We start from the raw sequence: 27,678 nt of genomic DNA on the forward strand, positions 1-27,678 counted from the left end.
CGCCCAGTTTTGATTATGAAAGTCTTCGAAAATGTTTACACAGTTGAGTGTTTCCTGTTTCCGCAGTTAATTTTTTTTAACGTTTTTTTCTTCTTTTGGTTCTTGAAACGGATTTCCTTTATTTGCACCAGTTTCTTTTTCTTAGTGTGCAATTTCTAGAGGTCTCACATGAAGAACTTCACTATCAACTCTGTCTTCATCAAGTCGACGACATCAGAAGTCATGTTATATTTATCACTGGAAAGACTCCGCTGTAGCACTCTTGTGAGAAGAGTTCTGGAGAAGTTCAAGTGGAAAACTCATTCGGAAGTCGCTTTAGCCCTCCAAATAAATAGTAAGCGCTCAATAAAAACTTCCAACAAAGGAGTTAGAACTACTCTCATTCTTCAGCCCCTAGCCTTTAAAAATGTCCCTTCCGGGACTATCCGAAGTCACTTTCATAAATAGCAGGTGTTGTTCCCTACATTTCAGTAAAATGCTACTTCTTGCTCTGATTGTCAGGTCATCATGGAATGCAAACTTCACCGTGGACGTGATTTCAACGTTGGTGCGGATTTGGAGATGTCCAACTCTGTCCTCAATTAGCCAGAACTCAAGTTGAGATAAGAGACTTGGGAGGCTGCAGACCCAGGTGATAGGGAAGCGCGTCGGAAAGTGGGATGCCAGGAATGGGATGGTGGCCGAGACCGACACCGAGGTTAGTGCAGGTGGAGAAGTAGGTCCAAAAGCCCAAGTCACAGGTCCGAAGTCCTCAGGAGCGGAAGATCTTCCAACTAAGCCGGAGAGCGGGGCGCACCGCACGGCGTGGAGCATAACGCCCGGGCGAGGGTGATTGGGGTGGGAAACTCCACTGCTTTCCAAAAAACAGGTTTCTTAGGTTCTAGTGCCCGGTGGAAAGGGCACAGTACACCGGCCTGGGGGAAATCACCTGACTTCTCCTTTGGTAAAGGCCCCCTTACCAACGCTGCCTCTCTGGTAAGGGGGTCCTTTACCAAAAGACACCTTAAAGAAGAAACAGCCTCTCTCCTTTTCCTTATTTTCTAATTAGCATCTTACAGAGGAGTGGAAACAGCTACAGCCCAGTCCCCTGCTCAAAACTGCGCCACCCCAGTTCGGCCCTGCTGGGCGCGCGAGCCAAGGCCGCGGGGCACCGGGAGGCCATTTTGCGCGTGCGCTGCTCGCCTCGCGCCGCCCTCGGCTCTGCGGACTCGGATCCCGCCAAATTTGAACGCGAGATTGTCAGGCCCTGAGGGGCTTGAGGGGCGGGGGAACGACGCCGCTCTCCAAAGTTGGACCCCGTGGCGAGCGGCGGCGACAGCCGGGTGCTCGCTGCCTCCCGAGGTGCTCCCTTTTCCCGCCGAAGCCCTCCACAGCGGCAGGCCGAGGCGCAGCGACGTGTCCCTGTACCCCGAGTTCAGCGCGGGCGGGAAAACGACCTGCACCCGGGGAGGCAGCGGCTTCGCGGGCAGAGCCCACGGGAGCGCGCCCTGCTAGGAGCCAGGCCGGATAATCGCCTTTCTTTGTCCTCCTCCCTCTTCGAGTCCAATCAATGCCCTTTCTCCTTAATGAACGAGGTGTCCTTGGAGTTTGAGGTTTTGTTGGATGATTTTAAATAAAATTATTAAGTTATAAAGTGGCCACCCTGAAGGTTCCCGAAGGCGACTTCATGTCTGTGACTGGAAAGGCCTAGAGGAGAGGGTCCTCCCGCTGGGCTCGTTTAATAGAACGCGCTCGAATCCCCTGGGAAAGAGCCTTGACTGGGTGACAGGGCTGAGGAGGGGTGGCTGCGCGGCGGGAATCTCAAGATCTGGGCAAAGGCTCGCGTCTCGGGACGCGAAGTCGACGCCAAAATGGGTCCCCGGACAAGGCGACCCTGGGAGTGCCGGCGCCCCCGGCCGGGCAGAGGAGCGGGTGGGCCGAGGCTGGGACATCGCCTCCGAAAGCTGCCGGGACGCGGCGGCTTCCTGCAGAGCCTGCGCCTGCCGGATCCCCAGAACACAGAAGCTTCTCGGACATGGGAGCTCCCCGTGCGCCCTAAAACCAGGAGAGGAAGGGACGACTTGGGAAAAGGGACTGGGGAAACAGCGGAGAAGTGAAAGCGGCCTAAAATGGGCGACGGCGGGCGAGTCCTCTTTATCAGTGCAGCAGGCTGCCGGAGCCGCCATTTGGTGGCGGATCTCGGTAGTTCAGTAGCACGTTGTGCTGAACGTCACAACTGGCTTGTCTACGTGGCATCGTCATTTCTTAACCGCGGTTTTACGAAATGCAAATTTCCCCCTGGCCTTCCTCCTCCGCGGCCGTCGACCCCCCTCGGCGCTCCGGGTGGACGGCTCCGGGGCGCGGCTCGTCCCTCGGGTGGTGCAGCCCCCGCGGCCCGAGACCCGGGGAGGGCCGGGGGTACTTTCTGCGAGGCGCCTTCCCCGCGGCTTCTGCCCGCGCCAAAGCCTGGTGGAATCCAGCGCAGACCTAAAGCACGCTTGACACCCCGATTTTTCGAGACTAGGACGACTCTCTGAGCCAGCAGCTTTCCTCTCCCTCTCGGGGAGAATCTCATTTCCTTGGGGTGGTGAGGGTGACGGGCACTGTCTTTTGGCCCCGCGTGTCCGTTCCCCGGTCTCCCGCCTCACCCCTCTGCGAGGTGAGGAGGGGAAACGGCGAGCTTAGGCCTGGCGGGAAGGAGCCTACCCGACGAGAGGGCTCCGCGGGGAGGGTCGGTTGGAATCCCGCCCTAGCGCCTCCTGCTCTGCCCGGTCCCCACCGGGGACGGGGAATGCCAGTCATTTCTGTTGAGTGCTAGCAGGGCCGGTGTCACCACCTCGGGTGGCCGAGGCTTCGAGGTTTTCATGAAAAGCCCCCGAAGCGTGAGGCGCCCGCCCAGTGGAGAACAAAGGGCCGAGGGCCGAAGGCGAGGCGAGGCAGCGCGCGCGGCTCCCTTGGCTCGACCTAGCTGGGAGTCGGGGGCGCGGGCAGGGCTCACTCCCGGCCTAGAAACTGGAGCCCGCCACCCCCGCCCCGCAGGCGACCGCAGGGATCCCATTCTTGGAGCCCGAGCTGCCATGTTGCCTTCGCGGAGGCCGCCAGTCACTTGACGCTTCCGAGACAGCGAAGCCCCCAACCTGAGAGCCCTTCGGCCGTCTTTGCCGCACAGCTGCAGTCAAGGCCCGGAGGGACTGCGGGACGCGGGCGGGAGCGAGAGCCCTGTGGGCTGCCAAGCCGGCGCGGCCGCGCCGCGGCAGCCGCTTCCCTTGCCACCTTCGTTCCAGGGGCTGCGGGGCTGCGCGCTCGGCAGAGGCTCGGTTGCCAGTAGCAACCACACGACGGCGATTTGCAGCCAGGGCCGCCGCCGCAGCCGCTGGTACCTCTGCCTCCTCCTACACCTCGGGCTCGAGCATTTGAAACCCTGGGGGTTGCCTTCGGTGACATCTCCCGCCCCCACCTCCAGTCCTCAGTCTCCAAAATCCTCAGCTCTGCTCAAAAGCCAGCGCCCCCGGCTGGGCCCTGCCCCCACCGCAGACAATAGGAGCGGCTGGGAGCGCACAGGGCGGCGCGCGCCGCGAGCAGCGGGCACCTGAGCCCCCAAATCCGGGCGCGTCGCTGAGTCTCAGCCCCAGGTGCCCTCTTCGCGGAGTTGATCAGCAATTCTTTTTCAGTGGCCAATTAGAAAGCTTTTCTTGACATCAGAAATAAGGGTGGTGCCAAAGAAAGAAGTCAAACGCCCACTCCCTTTCTAATAACATCGACACAAAGAAGAGCTCATGGTTGCGTCTGCGCTTGGTAACAGTGGCTTTCCTCTGGGTTAGAGCCACAGGCACAAGCACCCGCTGCTATCTTTCTTCTTCGCCTACCATGAATATTTTGCATGAAATCCAGAATGTAACCATTTGCGTTGACTTAACTGTTGCATCTGGATACTAGTTATTTATCAGTGGATGGAACACTTTTTTTTCCATTTCATTGGATGATCCGCATCAACCCTTGGCAGTGTGGACTGCGTGGTTTGAAACATAAAGAAAACGACTGGTATTAACCCTTGAGGATCTACTTTTTCTGTGGCTCTAGAACACCAATTTAACTTTTTTTAACAAGAGAACTCTTGTTAATGTTTTAAGCAGGTTTTATTGAAGAAAAGTCCTTAGAGTATCTAGCTAAGTCTTTTATTTAGCTACTAGGATAACTCGGGAAATATGTGCATTGCCAAATTTCTTCGCTCTTAATAATTGTCCCGGCTTTGTTAGCTGAGTGGTCTTAATGGGTTAAAATTTCTTGTAAATCACAAATGTGCTGAAATTTCCAAGTTTAAAGCTCCCTGAGGATAAGCACCTGCCTTATTCATCTTTGTAAGCGTCAGAGTCCTTTGAACATAACAAATATTTGTCGGACTTCCAGGGAATTTCAGAAGTCTCAACAACTCTTATTAGGAAAAAAACTAACTTACTGATAACTAGCAGAAAGCTTGGATATCTTTAATGAACTCAATGAAAAGCTAAACAATTTCCAAGCTGGTAGCATTATCAGATATTCTCATTCATGAATATTTAACTTAATTATATTTCAAATGCCATAGATTGTATGTTAAAATATCTGACACATGTTTTCAGGATTCTAAGGAGAATGACAAATTGTACATAAGAACTTGAAACTGCTAATTTCTCATCTAGTGTCTAAAAATTTGGTTAAATAGCCACAAGTAAGGTGCAACTTTAAAGTGCTTTCATACTTTCTGATAGCACAGACATGTCATTAACTGTCTTTACAGCTGGACAGGAATGCTTAAGGATCTAGCGTTGGATATTGCAAATCTACTAAGACAAGGCACCTTGAAATATCCTCTTTAATTTAAATAAGCTTTAAAGCATACTGAAAATAGTATGTCTCAATCACAAGTGATGGTAAACTCAAATTAATGCCTCCTGAAATGACTCTTAGGTATATTATTAAAAGAGGTTCACCTTTAAGCTTCACAAAATATCAAGTTCATTAAATAAGACAGTTTACCTAAAAGAAGAAAGCACTGCTTGGTTCCTAGAGGGAGCATAACGACCTGTAGCTTGCCAAACCACCCCCATCAGCACCTTAAAAATAGGAAAGCAAGGCTTTAGTGAAAAGTTCCTTGCTACGGTCTTTCAGGAAAGAAAAGCTCCAACAACTTGCTTTGGACCAAGTTAAAGAGATTATCTCCCTTTTTCATTACGACTGTCTTTCAATGAATTGAAGGATAAGATCAAAGTGCATTCATATTCATGTGAATTATCGCTATTGACTTGAATAATGATGGATTTCATTGTTTTATTTAAACTGAAACCAGGAACGCTGCTGCTTTTGAGGCTACACCCCTAAGGCTGTAGAATTTCTTCTCTGAGAACTCAAAAGCCAAGCAATTAGGTCTGACAACCACGTCATTTCCATAATGTACTTCCGTACAGAGGACTTTTTATTGGAATCGGTTACATTTCTATAGAATCTTATTACCACTCAATTTTTGACTTCTTTCCAACCTTCTCAACAAAACTCCTAAGTTCGGCAAGTACACTTCCAAAAAACTTATGAGTAAATTGTACTGAGAAGATACAGTGATGTTTCAGAAGCTTTTATTAATAGCTGTTCATGAATCAGACAAATTAATGTTATCAGTAATTACCTCAGGAGAGTGTTTTTGTTTTGAACATGATACATTACAGTTTTTCTAGGGTAACTGAAGAACTCAGTTACAGTAAGCTTGGGAAAATGTGTTTACCAGCTGTTTCTTTCTAAATATGCCTCATGACAATTTTCTTAAGACATTTTCATTGGGGTTTTCCTCAAACTGTCCCATCATTTTCTAAGGAGATGGAAGTTACTAGATTCAGTGGAACTCCCCCTCACTTTCACCAAGTGATCACTCTGCTCAAATAATTCTTATTACAATGCTTATCAGTTTGGAGAACACTTTTTAGGAAATTCATTACAATAAAGTAAGCTTGTCATTGAATTCTGCAAGCAACCTTTAAAATAGACTTAGGAAACTGCATTTTCCTGAACTTTAATATACACAATTTATATAGCCTCTCTAAACCTAAAAAGAGACTCTAGTGCAACAAAAGTCTATTACATTATCATGGTCTGCAGTGGGTTCTGGGAATATCCTTTCCCAGAAAGAGAACTGATTCAGTTACTTGGTTTCTCTCTTAAACTTCTGCCATACATTTAAGGCATTACACATAAACCACATTTTAAAAAAAATTCAATGTTTTTCTATTCAGTTGGGCTACAAGAGATCTCTATTTTCATTTACCCATTGTGTGTTTTTAGTATTGCAAGACACTCTTTAAGCCAGGAATTATTAGTAAATTGTTTCTCTTTGGGATATGACCATATATATATTGAAATTATTTGCATACGTTCAGCTTTACTTGTAAATTTCTAAGACTGTTACCCTTGACTTATAAGTAAAATGATAAGCAATTGCATATTATTTCACTAGGGCAAAAAAAAAAAGCATTCCTTGAATAAAAAGCATTTCTTTATAATTCAATTCCTTAAGACCAGATTTGTCTTACTGATGGGAAAAGTATTAGTATTTTCTTCATATAGGCAGTTCATCTTTTATATCGTTCATATAGGAACTTTTATTTTTTCACCGTAAAAAAATTAGGTAATATTGGAGTAGGAGGTAAAGTAATCCAGCTTTAGCAATATTTAGATGTTTTCTCTGAAATGTCAAAAAGCAAGGGTCCAAACTGTAGTGCAAGCATCTCCTCTGAAAGAATGAGATGTAGTGCCACCGTGTCCTCGAATTTAGCCTACGTTTTAGCGGAGCTCACTCTCGGCTCAGATAATCTCTGGGGAAAAAACGGACAGATAGAGTGGTTAAACAGGAAACACTATTTTTTTTTTTCAAACGTTTGAGAAAACTTGAAAACCATCTCTCGGTACTTTTGCAGTAATTTCCAGGAGTCAGAACATACAGTCCATTATTCTTCAGAGTAACCAACGCACAAGACATTTTGGCTTGGGACTTGATATCGCGAAATGACGTCAAAAAATTAAAAAAAAAAACGAAGCTCGCACATGCGCAATGAGGTACAGCTGCTTTTTATTTTTTTGTCTGTATCAGCTATTGGCTCCTATCCCCGCCTCTGGGATCCGGCCTGCGCCGCGGGGTCCTAGGGGGCCAGCAGCTGTAAAGCGGTACGGGATTCCGCACCCTACTCCAGCAAGAAAGAGCCTGAAGCCCCTCCCCACCTTTCCCGGCCAGGGCGCTCTTCTACGTCCCGCGCGCGGACAGCCGGGGCGAAGTAGGCCGACCGGCGCGGCCGCAGCGAGTTTTCTGGCAGCGCTAGCGCCGCGGGGCCTGGGTTCCCGGGTTCCGGTCTCCGCCGGCTCCGGGCTCGCCCCCGCGAGTTGGCCGCACCGTTCCCCCGCCCGCGGGGCAGCCGCTCCTCCGGGAGGCTCCGGCAGGGACCTTCGCCCCGGCCCCCGAGCGGCAGTGCGGCTCCAGCTGGAGGCCTGGCCCGGGAAGCAAAGTGAAAGGACAGAGGCCTCCTTCCTCGCCAGCCGCCCGCCGCGCCTTTCCCAGCTCAGGCCGGCGGCCCGCGGCGCGGAGGGAGCGAAAGAGTCGGGGCCTGCCCCCTCCACCGCCCGCATCTCGGCCGCCGCACCCGGGTCCGCCCCGGGAGGCCCCGCGGGAGGGAACCCCCGGCCCGCTGGGCGCTTCCGCACTGACGCCTTGGGGCCGCGCGCCCCCGCCCCTTCCTCCCGCTACACCCGCTGGGCCCCCGCCCGCGCTCCCGGCCTGCTCCCAGCGCCGCCTCCCCCGTTAGAAACTTCGCAGACACCGCGAAGCTGCTCTTTGGAGTTGGAGAAACTTAGGAAGAATGGGAAAAGCCGAGGAAGTCGGGGAGGACCACGTTCTTCCCTTGCCCTCGGCCCGACACTCCTGTCCACATTGGACGCGGCAGCCTGCCAGCGCCCAGGAGAGCCGACCCGGTGGACACCCCGCTTGGGGACCTGCCGGCGTCCGGCTTCGGCTCGAGGCGGGCGGCCAGCCGGGGCGCAATCCCCACGGGACACGCACCTAGGGGATGCGTGACCCGGACGCGGGCTTGGTGGGCTCTCTAGAGTCGTTTCTTATGTGGCACTTTCTGTCTTTGTCTGCTGTGTCCTGCACTGATTAAAGGGTGGAGAAGATAGTACGGACCTTCTCTGACACAAGTCCAACAACGCCAACATTTTAAAGGGGTGGGAGGTATTGAGCGGGAGGGCTGACCGGCATCTGGAGCAGGGCGCTTAGTGTTTTCCAGCTCGTGATGCAGGCTTTGGGCACAGTTTTGAATTACTTAAGAAAACGCACGCAAGTCCAAACGGAAGATATTTATATCACACTCACACACCAAGCTCCAATAATTTGTTTTTATGCATGTCACCACCGCCTTAGAAAACGGCATGCTGCATTTCGGACTTATACATTGAAAGCCCCCATTTTTAGTATCAATCACTTTGCACTACATGGTGCCTTTTGGGGAAGCAAAATTATTCGTGTGTGGAATCCCCCAATCACGGGTTTCTTTGGAAGTGGAAAAGATTAGTTCCATCTCTTCATCCTCTGAATTACTGGAAAGGAAGACAGGTACAGGTATATATTTAGGAGTTTGGGGCCAGTTAAACCACTGTCATCTTGACATTGACCTTAATACTAAAAAGAAAAACTTTAAAATGCAAAGAGTTGACTTTAAAAGGTTTGAAAAGCGAAGAATAGGGAGTAAGGCATAAACACAAAACATGCATAGAAATTTCAATCTTCCCTTCCCGGATGGAAGTGTGCAAGTCTCTTCTGCTCTGCTGACAAACTTGATGAAATAACTGGGTGGTCGGCTCAGACCTAAAATCCTGACATTATTTCCCAAAAGAGGCGCGATGCACCATTTAAGATAGTCATGTTTACTTTCATCATTATAGGTAATATTTCTGTTCCACCAACTTGGTTATGGACTAAGTAATGCCTTTATTTTTAATTCCAGTATGTAACTATGAATTATTTTAGTAATTTTAAATTTAGTGTTTGCAAAATGATTAATGTAGTCTCATAACTTCAGTAATTACATGCAATTGCCCGTTGAATGCCTTCTTAAATGCTAACAATGATTTTGGGGAAAAAATTATTTTAGGGGAGGGAAATTTCATAGCTGCATAGAACTCAGCTAATTTTTATTAAAAACAAGAAGCCTTTTGTTATTTAAATGATGTTTTAGGTATTCTCACTTCTTCGCCTACTTTACCATAAGTCCCTCATCTTTGCCCCCAAAACACTAATAGCACTTAGAGCAATTACAGCCCTTAAAACAGTGGCAGACTGCAGTACATGCCCATTGAATGAATGCAGGCTGCGGTATATATGCTGGTAGAATGAAGTGATGTCTATCTGCTACTAGACTTCATGTCCTGGAAGAAAGGCACATTCTGTTATTAGCAAGGTGTTTGACACACATTAATAATGAATACGTGTTAGGCTTGATGCAGAATATATATAAACACTTGATTCAACTCAATGACAGTTTTAAAATGCAGATATTAATATCTAATTAGCATATATAAATCTTTAAATTTTAAAATTCAGCTAGGAACTGAAGAAAAAATACATGGGTGTTAAAATTAGCAAAGCTTCTTTTAGGTATGTATAGCATATATTCCCATGATAATAGGATTTTCTGAATTCTCAAAGGAGGTATGCAAAGAGAAACAACAAGATTTTAAAACTGGCTTTATTTTGTTGTCATTTTCAGTCTCATTTTCATAAATAAAGGAGGAAATATTTGAAAAAGTGATTTTGAAGTTACATATTATGATTAGCGTTTTACAAAAGTAGCCAAAGGCTTCCAAACAAACCTTTCATGGAAACACTTTTTTGCAAGTTGTTCAGCTAATGGTTCATTCTCAATCAAATGTATAGTCTTATGTGCCAGTTACATTGTATATCTCTAAAGTCAGCTGGTACTTTAAGAACAGTAATCTTCCTGTAATACTTTTTAAAATACCGAAGTATCCCTTTGAATTGTTTTCTTTTTCATTGCTTAACTGTTAGTTTAGAGGTGTGTATGTGATCATGGGACATTCATTTAACTTTAGAAAACAGAATAGTATTTTGTTTTAGAGTTAGTACATTGAAAAATGGGTCAGAAAATACAGATTGGTTTTCTTGTCAGTAAAAGTAATCTGCCATATTTTATGCTTGAATTACTAATAATTTCACTTATATGCATATTGTAATCACTCTGTGTTACATACATTTCTCCATTTAGTTTTTAAGATTTTTTTAAGAAGGAACCTAAAATAAAGAGCAAAGATCAAGCTTCTTTAATATGTCCAATTTCAGATATGAAGTAGGCATCCTATATTATGTTTTATCAGGAATAATACAATTTAACTAAAAGATATTGTTAATAACAGATACTCAGACTCTAAAGTAATTTACATAGCTTTTGAACGTATGTTTTCAAAGAACTTAGTAGCATCCCATACTGTGTTATGTTTATAGGTTTAGACCTCTCCCCCTCTATTGAGCTCTTAACACTTTTAAAATGGAAAACAAATAGTAAAGCAGTTGCTAAAAATGGCAGTTGGAGTAGCTTAAGAGTTTGAATTGTTTGTTTAAGGACTGAAACCAAATATAAAAACTTTTAAGGGGATTTTTTTTCATCATTCAACAAGGAACTGAAAATTACAAGGCTTATTTGCAATCTTAATTATTTACTCAATCTGTTTCCTCCCACGTCTCTAAATGGGAACGCATAACTTTAATTTTAAAGGACATATTCCCATAGGGAAATATAGATATCACTGTAAAACTTACGACTTTGAATTAAGTAAAAAGATTGTGGCCATCACTGGCTTTTGAGCTGCAGAAGCAGAAGACATGTACCTGCCCTTCGGGGGTATTAGGGACCCGACTAAACACACTTATTCTTCTCTCTGATTGCTGGACCATTCCCCAACTATTTGGAGCTCCACAAAGTATCAGGACTTCATCAAGAGCTCAGTGAAGGGTGAGATCTCAAAGATAAATATAGAGGACTCATTCCAAATATAGAACCAGTTAAGTTTGCATGCTCCCTTCTGTTGAAGAAATATCAAGGGGTTTCCTGTCTTGGCACTACTTAGCAGCAGCTGCGGCTATGTATCCACTTGACATCTGGTGAAATTGTAGTTTTTGATGGAGGAACATTTAAAGTTGACAACTGTCATTGAAACAACTGGTATATAGTTTTCAAAGACAAGCTAGAAACCAGTAATAGACTAAGTACTTCAATTTTGTTAAAAGAAACTGGGTAAAGGGTTCAAGTTATATAAGATAGGGAAGTCTGGTTTTCCAGGTAAAGGTTCTCTCTCTTTTTCTGTTGGAGATGTCATTCATCAACATAACGAAGCCTAAATTTAAAAGACTAAGACAAAATATTTACAAATCACATAAAAGTGAGGAAACAGCAAAATTAGTAGTCATTAGGAGAAAGCCAGGGAAGACAGGACATTCATCACATCCTTTCCTCATCTGCTTTCCTCACTGAGTCTCTGAGTGCTCATTAAATGCTTTCAATACAGTGTAATTAAGTGTGTGAACATGGTTGTCATGCTCCTCCAGGAATCTTGAAACCAGGAATGCCAGGTATATAACAGCGGGTTACAAAAGAAAACACGGATTCCTAAATCAGTGTTTTACTGTCAGTGCAGTGTTAAATGTCAATGCAACACTTAAGTTGCATTGACATTCATGTGTTGATCGGATTGTACAATGTGACGTGTGAGATTTCTCGGGACCGTCGAAGCTCAGACAACTCCAGGGCTGCAATTTACTCGTCTGGCTGCCCTCGAACCAGGCTCCCTTGGCGCGTGGGGCTCTCCCGGCGCTTGGTCCCGACCCGCGCCGCAGTCAGGATACCACGGCAATCTGGGGTCGCTTTGTAAGGAGCTCCGACCTCCGGGCAGTGCAGGGATACTCGACGGCGCGCGATGTCCCGGCGGCTCCGCGAGCCTGGCGCGCTGAGAGCCCCAGCAGTCCGAGTCCTCGAGCTCGGGCGTCTTCGCGCCGCCGCCCCGCTCAGTGCGCCCAGGCACCGCGGCCGTGACGTCACGCCCGGGACTGGCCGTTGCAGCAAGACGGCCGCGTTCCGGTTCCGGTAGGTTGCCCGGGAGACGCGGGTACACAGAGAAGCGGCTCCCGTCGGAGGCCGAGTCGTCGCCACGATCGCCCCCTTGGTGGACTCGCAGGCCGAGCGGCTTCCCCGCAGAGCTCGAGGAGGGCAGACGGCGGCGGGGGCGCCATGAGTCAGAGGCAGGTGCTGCAAGGTAGGGCCGAGGCGGGCAGGTGCCCTAACTAGCTGGCGCCGAGGAGACCCGGGTGCGGTGGGCTCCACCGACTCTCTCTCCCGCAGTGTTCGAGCAATACCAGAAGGCCAGGACCCAGTTCGTGCAGATGGTGGCGGAGCTGGCGACTAGACCCCAAAACATCGAGACGCTGCAGAACGCGGGTGAGCCCGGAGCCCGAACCCCCGTCGCCCCCCGCGCACTGAGTCCCCGACGCCTCCGCCCCGCTGCCCTGCCCGTGGAGCTCTTGGGGAGCCGCAGTGTGGGGACCGGAGTTCGCAAAAGCATCCATTCTTTTCAGCGGGTCTTTGGGGGTCAGGCCGAGAGGGTGAAGCTTCCAGATGGTTGTGGGAGGTGCGCGTTGTCCCTGTTTCCATCTTCATTGCACACAGGCAAGTGTCAGGTTGAAAGTCGAGGCCCTAGGAATTGCCTGGAGTCATTTTACGTGAATGGGACTCTACCCTAATGAGACCCATTTTATCCAAGTGCCATTTTGCATGCCACCCTGCCTTTGATCACCTTCGACTTCCTCACAGCAAAGCAATTCCAGTGGTTTAGACGTGATTTCTCGTCTTGCTTTAGTGAAAGGGGAATGATATGCTTGAATCTTTTCCAAGAAATTCCAAGTAGGTAGAGACCAGACTTTGCGAAATCCTTATGGCGCGTTCCTTCTACTCCTCAGTCCGGACTCTTGCAGATGTGAGAGGGGGAGAGAGGGGGAGAGGGAGGGAGAGAGATCTTCTTATCTCATAACATAAACTGATAAGAGAAAATGGTTCTTCTTCTTCTTCTTCTTCTTCTTCTTCTTCTTCTTCTTCTTCTTCTTCTTCTTCTTCTTCTTCTTTCTTCTTCTTCTTCCTCTTCTTCTTCTTCTTTTCTTCTTTCTTCTTTCTTCTTCTTTTTTTTTGGATGATTCTACCACCATCTGAACTGTAAGGTAGCATTTTATCACTACTGTGTCATGAGAAATCTTCAGTTTATAGGATGTGATCTTTAAAACTAACACATAATTTAAACAATTAACATGTTGACAGCAAGAATACTTAAGTGTAATGATTACTCTGGGTTTCTTTGAGGGGAATTACTACTGCACCTATGTGATACTTCGTTTTGTCACTAGGATTTTTGGCATTTATTCCTTGTGTGTTTTTATTGGGGGGCATGTATTTACAATAAAGTATATTTTATAATCTTCTAAACGCATTTTAGTTTGAAATAATTGTAGATTCACAACTGTAAGGGATAATACAGAGAGATCCCGTGTACCCTTTTCTCAGTTTCCCCAATGGTAACATTTTTCAAAACTGTAGTGCAATATCACAAGGAGGACATTGACATTGATAAAAATTCGTTGATCTTATATAGGTTTCCTCCTTTTAATTGTTCGTGTGTGTGTGTGTTTTGTCCTATAGAATTTTATTCCGTGCGTATCCACCACCAGCACAGTCAAGATACAGAACACTTTCATTGTCACAAGGATCCTCTCTCTTGCCCTTTTATAGCCACACACACCTCCTGCTATCCCTAACCCTGGACAACCACTAATCTCTTCTCCATTTCTAAAATTTTGTCATTTCAGAATTGATAATCCTTTGTTCTATAGTTGTTTTATATGGGTTGATTTTCTGTATTCTGTGTGTGTGTATGCACCCGTACTCCTCCAAGTACCCAGAACAATACTGGGCACACAGTATTTCATATACACAGACTAACACAGACTAAGGTATTAGAACATGTTACATTTTAGAAGTGTATTTAAAAGTAATTTTAAAGTGTAAACTTTTAAAGTTTTTTCTCTCAGTCCCTCTCAATGACCTTTGTGAATGGACATTTACTACTTAACAAAGATTTAGTTTCTGGACAATATGAATATAGCCAAACTAAAACTTTTAAAATGGGAAAATAATTGATATTATTTTCAAATTTTAATACTGAGATGTTAAAGTATACATAACTTTTAAGATACGGAGTATCATGTTTTAGTGAGTAGTGGCAGGTTAGCTCCTCCCATAAGAGTGCAATGTAGACTTCACAATGGAACTTAATCCAAATTGACTGTATAAGTGGCTTAGATATAAGATTCTACACTTATGGTCTGGCTTAGGAAAGATGAATACGAAAGGAATATAACTTTATGTTTTGAAATTCTCTGCACTTGACTAATATCTGGGTAGCATGCTAAAATGTTTCTTTTCCTGAGGGACTTATTTTTAACAAATTTCATGTTATCGAGATTCAATTCAAGCATTCCTTTAGCAATTTTAAATACAGACATAATGAATATTCAATGTATTTATTCTTTTGATTAAAAAAGAACCTGTAAACTTTGTTATGAAAACTTTTCTTTCTTTCTTTGAGACAGAGTCTTGCTCTGTTGCCAGGCTAGAGTGCAGTGGCATGATCTCGGCTCACTACAACCTCCGCCTCCCAGGTTCAAGCGATTCTCCTGCCTCAGCCTCCTGAGTAGCTGAGACTACAGGTGTGCGCCACCATGCCCAGCTAATTTTTGTACTTTTAGTAGAGACGGGGTTCCAGCATGTTGGCCAGGATGGTCTCGATCACTTGACCTTGTGATCCACCCGCCTTGGCCTCCCAAAGCACTGGGATTGCGCCCGGCCAGTTTTCTTTCTTAATAGTCAGTTTACTTAACCATTCAAATGATTTGTTCTTTTAAAAAATTACAATTTTAAAAAAGGGCTTTAGAATGAGCCTCAGTATGTGTAAATCAATTATACATTATGGTCAAACTTTTTTTCAGTCAAATGCCTTCATTTGGTAGCTTCAGATACCAATGCATATTACTCCTGACTTTGACATACTGTCTACATACCTGGAAGATTTTGTTTGTTTTCTCATTTTTCCCTCCAATATGCTAAGTAAATATATATCATGGATCCAAGATAATGTAAAAAATATTTTCCATATGGGTATCATGATCAAACCAGTAATTCCCTTGTTAAGAATTTTTGAATTTATTCTATGTGAAAGGAATATTAAAGGTGAAAATTGTCAATGGAGTTTTTATTTCATTTTAAGTCTCCAATCTTTTTTATTGTGTTTTTTATACACTAATAAGAGAATTTGCTTTATTAAATATGTCCAAAGTAATTGCCAAAGCAGACAAAGTATGTTGCAAGATCTTTTCTTCAGAGTTATTTGGAAAAGATTAAGTTTGATTTCCTTCTTTTTTGTTTTCGAGACAGGGTTTCACTCTGTCGCCCAGACTGGAGTGCAGTGGTGCTATCTCAGCTCAATGCAACCTCTGCCTCCCAGGCTCAAGTGATTCTCCTGCCTCAGCCTCCTGAGTAGCTGGGATTATAGGTGCGTACCACCACACCTGGCTAATTTTTGTTTTGTTTTGTTTTGTTTTTTTAATAGAGAAGGGTTTTCACCATGTTTAGCCAGGCTGGTCTCGAACTCCTGACCTCAAAGGATCCACCCGCCTCAGCCTCCCAAAGTGCTGGGATTAAAGGCCTGAGCCGCCACGCCTGGGTAGTAAGTTTGATTTCTAAACAAAATTATTACTAGAAAGAACGGTGTACAAAGCATCTATAACCTTGAGGTGTTTTTTTTTTTCCTCACTGAGGTTTTATTCCTCTAAATTAAAAGAACTCATATGAACAATTAAAAAGTTTAATGTCTGTTATAAAATTTCTTTATGTACTCTCAAATTCTATATGTTTGAACCATTACCTCTTGCAGCTATTTAAAAACAAATTTTGATACTTCCCGTCTGAATAATTAGTAACACATGACTGTAATAGTAGAGATAATACATTGTTACTTCTACCAATTGTAAAATTTCAGCAATTGGAGGTGTTTTGTTAGTTATAAAATATAAGAAACATGTTTTGTGGCTTACTGGAACACCAGGCCACTTTTAGTTCTGTTTAGGAGGTCTTTTGAAATACACTAATAGAAGCTCCAAGAAAATGACTTTTAAACTTAGCTATATAAAATACACTTTTCCTGAACCAGCTATTTATATAAGTGGGGTAAAGTTTAAAATATTACTCAAAATTTTACATATTACAACCTATAGTAGAACATAGCAAATCAGTAGTTATGCACATTTTCAGAAGAGTAGGAATAAATAAGTTTGCGTAACACTTTAAATGTGCACCTGTATGAAGCTAATTTTCAGATTGAGGCAACTTAATGGGTTCAGAATTCAAGAAAATAAGTCAAATATGCTGTTGACATAAAGTGATTTTAGATTACATGTATCTGGAGCAGGGTAAAAGCTCCAGATTAACTATCTAGTACCTCTTAATATGCTATGAGAAGGAAAAGCCCTGAGTAAGCATTTATCATGTATTTAAGACATACCTTGATATGTACATGTGCTATGATCCTCTTACAAACCTGCTGTTTCAAAGGATATTGAAACTGAAAAGAAAATTAACAAAGCAACTACAAAAAATTTAACCAATCATGCTATTTAAATTTGACTTTTTTTTTTTTTGGTATAGAAGGAGTCTTAGCAGTTGTGAATATGAACGATAATGAACTCAAAACACTGACTTCTTCTTAAAAGATAGGGATAGAGAGGTTTGCTACATATGCTTAAGTGGAAAATATGCCAAGGAGCTATACACATTCTGTCTTTGTATATGCACCAAACAATAAGTTCTAAAAACAAAAGCTTAGTCAGAATTTTATTCTGTGTTCCAAACCACTGTTCCTACATGGACATTGATCTGTTTTGTTAGCTGAGCATTGGTACATAGTAGAAAATAATAGAGTCAGGGTTAGGCTCTAATTGTTTCCTTAGAAAAAAAATGGACAATTAAAAAAAACTAAGCTGTAGATGAGCCTATAAGAAGGCTTACAAATAGCAAATTTCATAGGTTAAATTTTACAGATTAAAGTTTTGATATTTTCAAAAGTTTTTGAAAAGTTATTTAGGTATGCCATAATCCTACTTTACATTCGAATGAGGTTTCAGGACCTTTGCACTTCTGCCTGAAATCTTTCCCTATACTTATTTGACTAACTAATTTCTACTCAGTCTTTATGGCTCTGTTTTGGTGTTGATGCCTCAAGGAAATCTTGCCTGAGCCCTCACAGTAAATTAAATCTCTTGGTTTATGGTACCCTTGCTCCCAGTATTTTTGTTTTCCCCACTAAACCCACTAACTCCATTATGCTATGCATAAATTCCATGCATAGCATAATCAAAATTATTAAATAGGATGAAGGAAGGAGTAACTGAATGAGGAAGAAAAGTTTTTGGAAGTAGTAATTGTTTTCACATCCACAGTTTGGATAATTGTTCTCTTCACAAAGTGAGTTAGGCCCCAAACTGGAACTAGAACTCATTTTTAATACTGCCTCATTTTGTGCTCTTTCTACTTTAACTTGTACGTATTAGTAAACTGTTTTATGTGATTCTAGGAATTCCTAATAAACCTTGGTTTTAACTGTTGAAACAAGTCCTGTCTTTAGGTATTTGAGTACCAATGGCTGTCCAATAACTGGAAAATTTGGTGGCTTTGGAGGTCTCTTTGAGGACTATCGTGGAGTTTGAGTGGAGGCCAGATGCAGAGGGCTAACTTTAATTGATAAATTCCTCCAGGTTTGAGGGAGTGGGAGTAGTATTTAGTGTTTAAGCTGGCCTCAGAACTCTAGAGGGCCTTAAGGCTTCCTTGGGCTTCTAATTAGAATCTTAATCAAACCAGGAGCTCTTTAAACGCACGCAGAGGAAAGTTTGTAATCCACTGGAAGTTGGGAACCGAGGTAGTCCTGCAGAGACTACCTTGGACTGAGACCCTGTCTGCATGAAGTGCAGGCTAGAGGAGAATTTTTCAGAGCCCTGGGCTGTCAGCTGCCTGTGACTTACTGACTGCTCTCCTGGGCTTTTGAAAACACCCAGGGGTAGAATACAGTGAAGTGGGAGTCACTTGGTGTTTGTTGATTGATTGATGTGAGTATATACTTAACATTTCTTGCTTTTTAATCATGCTTTGTGTAAAGTACTTTTTGTTCACGGGGGCAGAACTTTGGGATTTCTATTGAGTGGTTGTACTAGCCTTAGGAGAAATTCAGGGCTACATCTTGATAAAAAATTTGGCCTTGTCTTGTAGTGCGTGGAATGGCCTGTGTGAATACAAGTCAGGCCTCCCTAATTTTCAAAGTGAAATCTTGATTTTCCCATATGATCCATGCTTTCTTTCATAAGGATGGCTCAACTTAAAATTTATTGTTTATTTAGTTTCTGTTAAAAGTCTTGCTGTGGCTGGGTGTGGGGTCTCACGCTTGTAATCCCAGCACTTTGGGAGGCCGAGGTGGGTGAATCACGAGGTCAGGAGATTGAGACCACGGTGAAACCCCGTCTCTACTAAAAATACAAAAAATTAGCCGGGCGTGGTGGCGGGTGCCTGCAGTCCCAGCTACTCGGAGAGGCTGAGGCAGGAGAATGGCGTGAATTTCGGAGGCGGAGCTTGCAGTGACCCGAGATCGCTCCACTGTGCTCCAGCCTGGGCGACAGAGCGAGACTCCGTCTAAAAAAAAAAAAGTCATGCTGAAAACAAGTGATATGTGTGTGTGCGTGTATGTGTGTGTGTGTGTGTCTGAATGAAATGATCTCTATTCACTTTTCTAAATATTCTGTGTTCTATACCTGCGTCAAGTTAGAATCACTATTAAAGTATATTCATAGGCTAGATTATATTAGTTTCCCATATAAATGTCTTTGTAGACTTAGTTTAATAATATATCACCCTTTTTTTAAAAAAAATTGAGGGATTACTTAAAAAAAATAGATGCTTAGATTTTCCAGTAACTGCTATAAATCTGTGAAGACATTTTCTGTCTTGTTAAATTCTTAATATGAAGATAAACTTGCATATTCAACAAATATTTATTTGTTTATTTATTTGAGACGGAGTTTCACTCTTGTTGCCCAGGCTGGTGTGCAGTGGTGAGATCTCTGATCACTGCAACCTCCACCACCCAGGTTCAAGTGATTCTCCTGCCTCAGCCTTCCTAGTAGCTGGGATTACTGGCATGTGCCACCACGCCCAGCTAATTTTTGTATTTTTAGTAGAGACGAGGTTTCACCAGGCTGGTCTTGAACTCCTGACCTCAGGTGATCCACCCGCCTCGGCCTCCCAAAGTGCTGGGATTACAGGCATGAGCCACCGCACCCAGCAACAAAATATTTATTATTACATGGTATAGGTATAATATATAATATATAGGTGCTAGATATGAAATTTCAGGAAAAAAAAGTTCCTGCTTATTTTTATTTCACAAAGTGTTCTCCTTTTTACTTTTGCTGCCAGGAAACTCAGTGCTCTGTTCAGAACTCAGTTGCAGCAGCTATCTTCAACCTACATTTCTGATAAAATATCAGTTCTCCTTCCCACTACATAGGGGAGGTGGGACTGTACCTTTGTATACATATATTAATATTTTGGAGTAAACTATTTCAAATATTTTACAGTAGTGAAGTGTGAATAAAATAAAACATTAATTCTATCTAAAGATAGATTTTCAAACTGATTGCTTTCCATACATTTTCTCTTCACATGTTACCTATGAAAACTCTTGGAGCAGATAATCCTGTTAGTACTGTCCTGTTTATTCTTTGTGCTGCCCCATTCCTGATTGCAGTCTTCTGCAAACAGATGGATGTAATTAGGTATTTACTGTAAAAGAGAAAACACATTAGTTAGAGAAGGCAGGACTAATTCAACATTGGCAGCTCTCTAAAAAGACTTTCAAATTAAAATAGAGTTTTGTCTATATGGTGTGGGGTGATTTTAGGTGAGGAAACAGTTTGAATGACCCACTTGAGTTCCTTAAAACTTTATGAATTTATGTTAAAGTGCTACGCACGTACCTGACTTCTTGTACCTAAAAAGAAAACAACTGTGAACACAATATTACCCATTTTGCTTTTATTTTAACTAAAATTTACCTGAAAAGAGAGAAAATTGCACATTAATTTCCACAGCTGGTTTATTCATTATTCTATTCACATTTATTGAGTGTCCAAGTATCAGATGGATGTTTAGATGCGGACCATGCAAAAATCGGAGGCATAGTCCCTGTGCTTAAGTGGCTTATTTGCTAATGGAAAGACATATAAATAAATTATTGTTTATTCGAAGGGCACCTTACTCAAGATTTGGGAATGAGGGATATCGTTCAAGGGAGACATCTAGGAGGAGGTATATAATCACACAGATACTGTGCTGAATTTCCTAGGAGTTAGCCAGATAAAATGGCATTCAGGTAGAGGGAACGTTATGTGTAAAGGCACAAAGACAAGAGAAAAGGTGGTACTCATGGAAAAGGCCAATGTTTAGTTATGACTGGAGCTCAGGGTAATAGGGCAAGGAGAGGAGAGTCAGTCATGGTTGGAGAAGAAACAAGTCTAATTATGAAGGGCCTCGTATGAAGTTTAGATTTCTCCTGGAATTGATGGAAAGCCATTGAAGTGTTTTAATTGGAAGAGTCATGGGATCCACTTTGTGTTTTAGAAAGGCAATTTTAGCAGTCTTTTGGAGAGTAGATAAGAGGGGATTAAATCAGGATCAGGAGACTGGGTGCTCATTTTTGCTATAGCAGTCATGTTTGATAAGAAATGTTAAAGGGGTAACATCTGCAGGACTTGGTGACTTAGGAGTAGGGGTTGGGGCAGGTAAGGCGAGAGATGACTTCAAGATGCCTCCTGGACTTCTGGTTGCTTGGACACATTAGCACCATTCATCTGTAGAGAAAGGATGCAAAGAGCAGAGAGAAATTGTGATTTTACTCTTCAGTGGTTGAAGCGTGTCTGAGATATCCATGCGTCAGTGACTGTGGTGATGTAGAGTGCTAGGGCTCAGGAGACAGATAGCTGGAAAGAAAGATTTGGATATGTGGAACTAACATGTTAATTTGAAAACTATATTAAAAGCCCATTTTATATTTCCTCATGTAATTGTAAATATGTTAAGTTCCAATCATTTTATCTGGAGTATAATGCAAATCCAACTTCGCATAGCTTTCATGTTCTACATTCTCACTCAGTTGAGAATCTCACAGACAGATGGTGGTGGCTGGGACCTAATCAAGGGACAGCTGGCTAGGCACGGTGGCTCACGCCTGTAACCCAGCATTTTGGGAGGCTGAGTTGGGTGGAACACCTGAAGTTAGGAGTTCGAGACCAGCCTGGCCAACATGGTAAACCCCATCTCTACTAAAAATACAAAAATTAGCCAGGTGTGGTGGCAGGCGCCTGTAATCCCAGCTACTCGGGAGGCTGAGGCATCCGGGAAGCGGAGGTTGCTGTGAGTTGAGATCACGCCACTGCACTCCAGCCTGGGCAACAGAACGAGACTCCGTCTCAAAAAAAAAAAAAAAGAGTCAGACAGTTGCACTAGAAAAATGAATTAAATTTTGGTTTCATACAGTAACAATGGAAGACAGTTATGATTAATGCTAATGGTAGAAATAATGTGAATTCAACAGACTATATACCCTTTGGTATACATTCCAAACCTGGCACATAGGCCAGTTTTTCTTGGCAAATGGGCTGTAATAGACAGTAGGGAGGAGAAACCGGAGAGCATAGACGCGAGCCATGAAGAGCATCTACCTCATTGGATTGTAATGAGGGTTACATGGGTTACTATTTGTAAATTTCTTAGAGAGGTACCTGGCACATGGGAAATGCTATATAAGTGTTTGCTAAATAAGTGAATGAATTTATGATGTGCTGGTCCCCATCCCACCTTCCTCTCAGCCCTTCCACTAAAAAATGATATATCAGATATGGTAGTCCTTTACTCACAAACAACTGAATCAACACTGAATCACCAAACAAAACTTGGAAGATACTATAGCTAATGAGAATAAATTTCAAAGGAGAAAACAGATTATTCTTGCTCATAATAGTTTCTTGAATTATTTACTATTACAATTGAATTCTATGTAAAAAGGCCATACTTTTTGTGATTCAATCTGACACTTTAGATAAATTACAAGACTTTTTGTGTGTTATAAGGGATAACACCCTAAATCACAATTGACTTTATGTCTGAAAAAGTATTTCAAGAAAACAAGGCAAACAGATATGTGATACCAAAATTTGTAATTTCTTAATCAAATGCAGGAACAATGGCCAGAGGTATATAATCAATAAAGGCTGGGAGAAACCAAATCAAGGCCTGAAAATTCTTATTCTAAAAAAAGGCAGGGGAGGAACACAAATAATTTTAAATAAAAAATGACCAGTGAAGGAAATGAGAACATGTTATACAATTCATCAGTGTTGTGAAACTTGGTTCAGTAAAAATCATCATATAAATATCATAATTTGTTACAGAAATATTAAAAAATCTATTAGAGTAAGGATGATAAGTATAATTAGACTTACACTGTAACAGGAGAATATGTAATGGTTGTAGTATTAAAATCAAAGTGGATGGTAGTTTCTAGGTCCATTAGCACAAGTGTTGGGCTAGCTGTATATTGAGAACAAATTACAAATTACCTATGCTAGGTCACTTGAAGAATAGAAAAGAAGTTTAAAACAAGCTCTGGCCTAGAGAGGTTTATTATTTTACTGAGGATATAAGACATTTATTCACACAAACTAGAGAACCATTTAACATGCTGTGTCAAGGATGGCTGCTGTGCTGTGCTTTGCACAACTTCAGGGGTGCCATTTATATCAATCTATGTGAACGGCATTCCTTCGATTTGTGCAGTACGCATCCTGCACAGCTATACATGGTGGACCTGGAATTATTCAAAGTTTTCATTTTTATTAATTTCCCTGAGAGTAAGTGGGGCAAACAGTAAAGCTCCCCAGTGACTTTCCTTTCCCCTTAAAATAAAATCAGAAAATCTTAGTTTGGCCTACAGCCAAATTTGATCTGACCCCAAGTAAACTTCTTAGCTTTATCTCTTGCTACCTCACTCCTCCCATTTTATGTTTCAAGCCAGTATGAATTTATTGAGGCTTCTTCAACAGTGGGCAACAACTATACATCCTTTGACCAAACCAGAAACTTGGAAATATCACTGATTCCTTTCCAATAATCAGTTTGTCTTCTGAATATCTCCTTAGACCTTTCACTTTCACCTTTCTTTTTGCCATTACCATTCTCCAGGCTATCTTCATATCTGGCTCGGTAACTATGATAGTTTCCTAAGTGGTCTTCCCTGCCTCTCATCTTGTCCCTTGTCATCCTTTTTCCCTACTGTAATCAGAGTGATCCTTCTTTACAAACTGTGACTTTGATCCTGTCACTGCACTGACATCAATGTTCAGATAAAGTTCAAAATACTTAAAATCGTTTATTGGATACTTCAGGACTTTTGTCTCTATTTATCTCTTAGCCTTTTTCTCCAGCTTCCTGTCTCCCTTCTTGCACTATAGTCACACTGCATTCTCAGTTTTGTCAACATATGAAACTCTTTTTGCTCTTTGTTTATACCATTCCTTCTGGGTGCAATACTATTCAATCCTTTCTCTCCATCCCCTCCAGTTTTTCAGCAGGCAGGCAAAGTCTGCCTGAGAGCCTTCAGATCTCAACTTCAGTGTCACTTTCCCCTGTGTTGCCTCCCCATGTCCCTCCAAGCCTGGGTTAGATGCTCTGTTGTATGTTTGCAGAGCTCTCTCTACTTCTCCTATAGTGGCATACATCATAGCATGTTGGGATTATCTGTCACAACCCGTTTAGAAGTTCCTTGAGGTCAAGGACAATTGTGTTTTTAATACTGTGTATATTCTTGATAGATATATCTTGAATGAATTACTCATTCAAGAGTAATTCAAAAATGTATGGCAAAAAAAGCCTCTAACTATGGGACCATTGAACCTTTAATAGTTCTTAATTACAATGGATGGTATTAATTAATGAGTCATTCACTAATAATAAAATTATGTGGATGAAAATATAGTAAATTTAGGGAACTGATTTTTTTCTCTTTTTTTAATTATTATTATACTTTAAGTTTTAGGGTACATGTGCACAATGTGCAGGTTTGTCACATATGTATACATGTGCCGTGCTGGTGTGCTGCACCCATTAACTCATCATTTAGCATTAGGTATATCTCCTAAAGCTATCCCTCCCCCCTCCCCCCACCCCACAACAGTCCCCAGAGTGTGATGTTCCCCTTCCTGTGTCCATGTGTTCTCATTGTTCAGTTCCCACCTATGAGTGAGAATATGCAGTGTTTGGTTTTTTGTTCTTGCGATAGTTTACTGAGAATGATGATTTCCAGCTTCATCCATGTCCCTACAAAGGACCTGAGCTCATCATTTTTTATGGCTGCATACTATTCCATGGTGTATATGTGCCACATTTTCTTAATCCAGTCTCTCATTGTTGGACATTTGGGTTGGTTCCAAGTCTTTGCTATGGTGAATAGTGTCGCAATAAACATACGTGTGCATGTGTCTTTATAGCAGCATGATTTATAGTCCTTTGGGTATATACCCAGTAATGGGATGGCTGGGTCAAATGGTATTTCTAGTTCTAGATCCCTGAGGAATCGCCACACTGACTTCAACAATGGTTGAACTAGTTTACAGTCCCACCAACAGTGTAAAAGTGTTCCTATTTCTCCACATCCTCTCCAGCACCTGTTGTTTCTTGACTTTTTAATGATCGCCATTCTAACTGGTGTGAGATGGTATCTCATTGTGGTTTTGATTTGCATTTCTCTGATGGCCAGTGATGGTGAGCATTTTTTCATGTGTTTTTTGGCTGCATAAATGTCTTCTTTTGAGAAGTGTCTGTTCATATCCTTCGCCCACTTTTTGATGGGGTTGTTTTTTTCTTGTAAATTTGTTTGAGTTCATTGTAGATTCTGGATATTAGCCCTTTGTCAGATGAGTAGGTTGCGAAAATTTTCTCCCATTTTATAGGTTGCCTGTTCACTCTGATGGTAGTTTCTTTTGCTGTGCAGAAGCTCTTTAGTTTAATGAGATCCCATTTGTCAATTTTGGCTTTTGTTGCCATTGCTTTTGGTGTTTTAGACATGAAGTCCTTGCCCATGCCTATGTCCTGAATGGTAATGCCTAGGTTTTCTTCTAGGGTTTTTATGGTTTTAGGTCTAACGTTTAAGTCTTTAATCCATCTTGAATTAATTTTTGTATAAGGAGTAAGGAAGGGATCCAGTTTCAGCTTTCTACATATGGCTAGCCAGTTTTCGAGAACTGATTTCTTTAGCATTTTTATTTATCAAGCACTTGATGGTGTTTATTTTGTTCTAATCTTCCTAGAACTTTAGAAATTTTATCTAATTCTCACAGTAACTTTGTGAGTAGTCCTAGAATTTGAGGGAACTGAGGCACAGAGATGTTAAGTAGTCTTGCCAAGGTCCCTCAGCTAGGAAGTGGCAGAGTCCAGATTTGAACCCAATTAGTTTTCCTCTAGATTCATGCTTTTTACCACCTTACTCTGTTGCCTCTCAACATGGACAGTCATGTAACCTTCCTTCTATTTGTAAAGCATGAAGTTTCTATTATATTATTTCTTATTGGACCCCAGAAAGAATGCCTGAGTCAGATGGTAATATTGACAGTGAAAGGTGAATCCTTTACTGTGTAATTGGTTAATTTTGTGCAAAAATCACTTGTTGTAAAACTTGAATGAACTATAGTAGTAGTGTCATAGTAAGTGGTTACATAGAATGTAGCTTTAGATTAAAATGAAGCATACTGTTGGAATTTGAATTTTTAAAGCTTTGTAAAATTTATGGTAACAAATATCTAACATATTTTATAAATTTATGATTTTTTTTTGAGATGGAGTCTCATTCACTCTGTCACCCAGGCTGGAGTGCAGTGGCACCATCCTTGCCCACTGCAGCCTCCACCTCCCCGGATCAAGTGATTCTCCTGCCTCAGTCTCCCAAAGTGCTGGGATTAAAGGTATGAGTCACAGCACCCAGCTGGGTATGGAGTTTTTGTTAGGGATAATGAAAAAGTTCTGGACATGGATAGTGGTGGTGGTTGCACAACACTGTAAATGTACTCAATGCCACTTAATTGTACACTTAAAATGGTTTAATTGATAAATTTTGTTATGTATATTTTGCCACAATAAAAAAATTTTAAAAGCAGGTTAGAGGTAACCAAGGCAACAAGATAACTTTACTATGACATAAGTGGACTGAAGGCCCAGTTTGCAGAAACTTTTTGTTTTATTTTTCATTTAACTTTTATTTTGAGTTCAGGGGTACATGTGCAGGTTTGTTACATAGGTAAACGTTGTTGGGGGGGATACTTGTTTTTAAAAGAACAAAGTTGCAATGTTAAATGTCTTTGTAAGACAGCAGACTGATGTAATATGTATATAAATTATATGCTTTAATGTAAGAATGAATGAGGTGTTTTTTGTCATTGGAAAAACTTGACATTTTCTTCCTGATGATTTCTATATGTCACTGGCATGCAAAATAAAATAATTTGGCCTGCATTGTGTTATAACAAATTAAATGAAAGAGTTGTGATTGTCTTGAGGCTATTTTATAATCTCCTTCACTAGACTATTAGTTTCTTGACAGTAGGTGTCAAGAAAACTTAAGTCATATATGTATCCCTATTGCTTGCTATGTGGTTAACCCTGATATCTTTTTTGAATGAATGACTGTGGACAGGATCAGTGTGGCTATTTTTTTTTTTAAATTTTTGAGTGTCTTCTTGTTTTTGTTTGTTTTTTTTTTTCATAACTGGATTGCAATGTGGGAATTAAAAGCAGTGTTTTCAGGCCAGGTACAGTGGCTCACACCTGTAATCCCAATACTTTGGGAGTCCAGGAGTTCAAGACCAGCCTGGGCAACAAGGCAAAACCATGTCACAAAAAAAAAAAAAAAAGGTAGTGTTTTCAGTATAGCACTAGAATAAGAAAAATAGGCAAGGAACTCAAAGCTATAAATTATGTGTATGGGAGCATTGTATAGATTTATCTTTAAGTTAAATTTCAAAAATATTTTCACACAATTTAATCAGTTTTTATAGAGCAGACAATTGTTTTATGGATAATTGAGTTTAATATGTGAATTGTTATTTTTAGTATTGGATATAATATTACATAGTATATGTTGGGTCCTTCAAGTGAGCCCCAGTGATGTCGTTTGCTCCTTACTAGAGGCCTTGTTTATCAGATATTGTGGCAACTATTCAGACTGCTTTAATTTGTGAACTCTAAATTTCCATGCATTCACTCACCATGGATCTCTGGATACCTAATGGACAGGCAGGTAAGAAAAATTTCTTTTTATTTCCTTCCTTCCTTCCTTCCTTCCATTGTCACCATTTTTATGCAGTTTCCTTGCATATTTATCTGTAGTTTTAAGAGAAACTTGTAGTTAGAATAACAAAGTCTCCATGTT

The 27,678-nt window shown here is 42.1% G+C and overlaps 1 protein-coding gene across 6 annotated transcripts in view, besides 5 other annotated features; it reads left to right on the top strand.

Annotated features, from left to right (window-relative positions):
• Positions 6,962-7,748: an enhancer, noted in NCBI's record as "H3K27ac-H3K4me1 hESC enhancer chr10:22629212-22629998 (GRCh37/hg19 assembly coordinates)". NCBI's record gives its function as "activates a minimal SCP1, AML or CMV promoter by ChIP-STARR-seq in primed H9 embryonic stem cells {active_cell/tissue: H9 hESC(primed)}" and the evidence as "EXISTENCE:reporter gene assay evidence [ECO:0000049][PMID:30033119]".
• Positions 6,962-7,751: a biological region, named in NCBI's record as "H3K27ac-H3K4me1 hESC enhancer GRCh37_chr10:22629212-22629998".
• Positions 7,332-7,751: a silencer, noted in NCBI's record as "silent region_2209". NCBI's record gives its function as "represses an Ori minimal core promoter by ATAC-STARR-seq in GM12878 lymphoblastoid cells {active_cell/tissue: GM12878}" and the evidence as "EXISTENCE:reporter gene assay evidence [ECO:0000049][PMID:35858748]".
• Positions 12,024-12,243: an enhancer, noted in NCBI's record as "active region_3130". NCBI's record gives its function as "activates an Ori minimal core promoter by ATAC-STARR-seq in GM12878 lymphoblastoid cells {active_cell/tissue: GM12878}" and the evidence as "EXISTENCE:reporter gene assay evidence [ECO:0000049][PMID:35858748]".
• SPAG6 (sperm associated antigen 6) overlaps positions 12,175-27,678 on the top strand; it is a 72,115-nt gene continuing 56,611 nt past the window's right edge. For 4 of the 6 annotated variants that reach the window (NM_012443.4, NM_172242.3, XM_005252646.3 and 1 more), the window contains exons 1-2: positions 12,175-12,315; positions 12,402-12,497. In NM_012443.4, the coding sequence (NP_036575.1) occupies positions 12,291-12,315; positions 12,402-12,497 (121 nt within the window). In that variant the 5' untranslated portion in view covers positions 12,175-12,290. Of the gene's footprint in view, positions 12,498-14,695; positions 14,813-26,089; positions 26,216-27,434; positions 27,547-27,678 lie in introns of all 6 variants that reach the window. The other 2 variants (NM_001253854.2, NM_001253855.2) reach the window with 2 other exon arrangements.
• Positions 12,204-13,020: an enhancer, noted in NCBI's record as "H3K4me1 hESC enhancer chr10:22634454-22635270 (GRCh37/hg19 assembly coordinates)". NCBI's record gives its function as "activates a minimal SCP1, AML or CMV promoter by ChIP-STARR-seq in naive H9 embryonic stem cells {active_cell/tissue: H9 hESC(naive)}" and the evidence as "EXISTENCE:reporter gene assay evidence [ECO:0000049][PMID:30033119]".

The sequence above is a fragment of the Homo sapiens genome, chromosome 10, assembly GCF_000001405.40.
Source record: "Homo sapiens chromosome 10, GRCh38.p14 Primary Assembly".
Lineage (NCBI taxonomy): Eukaryota > Metazoa > Chordata > Mammalia > Primates > Hominidae > Homo > Homo sapiens.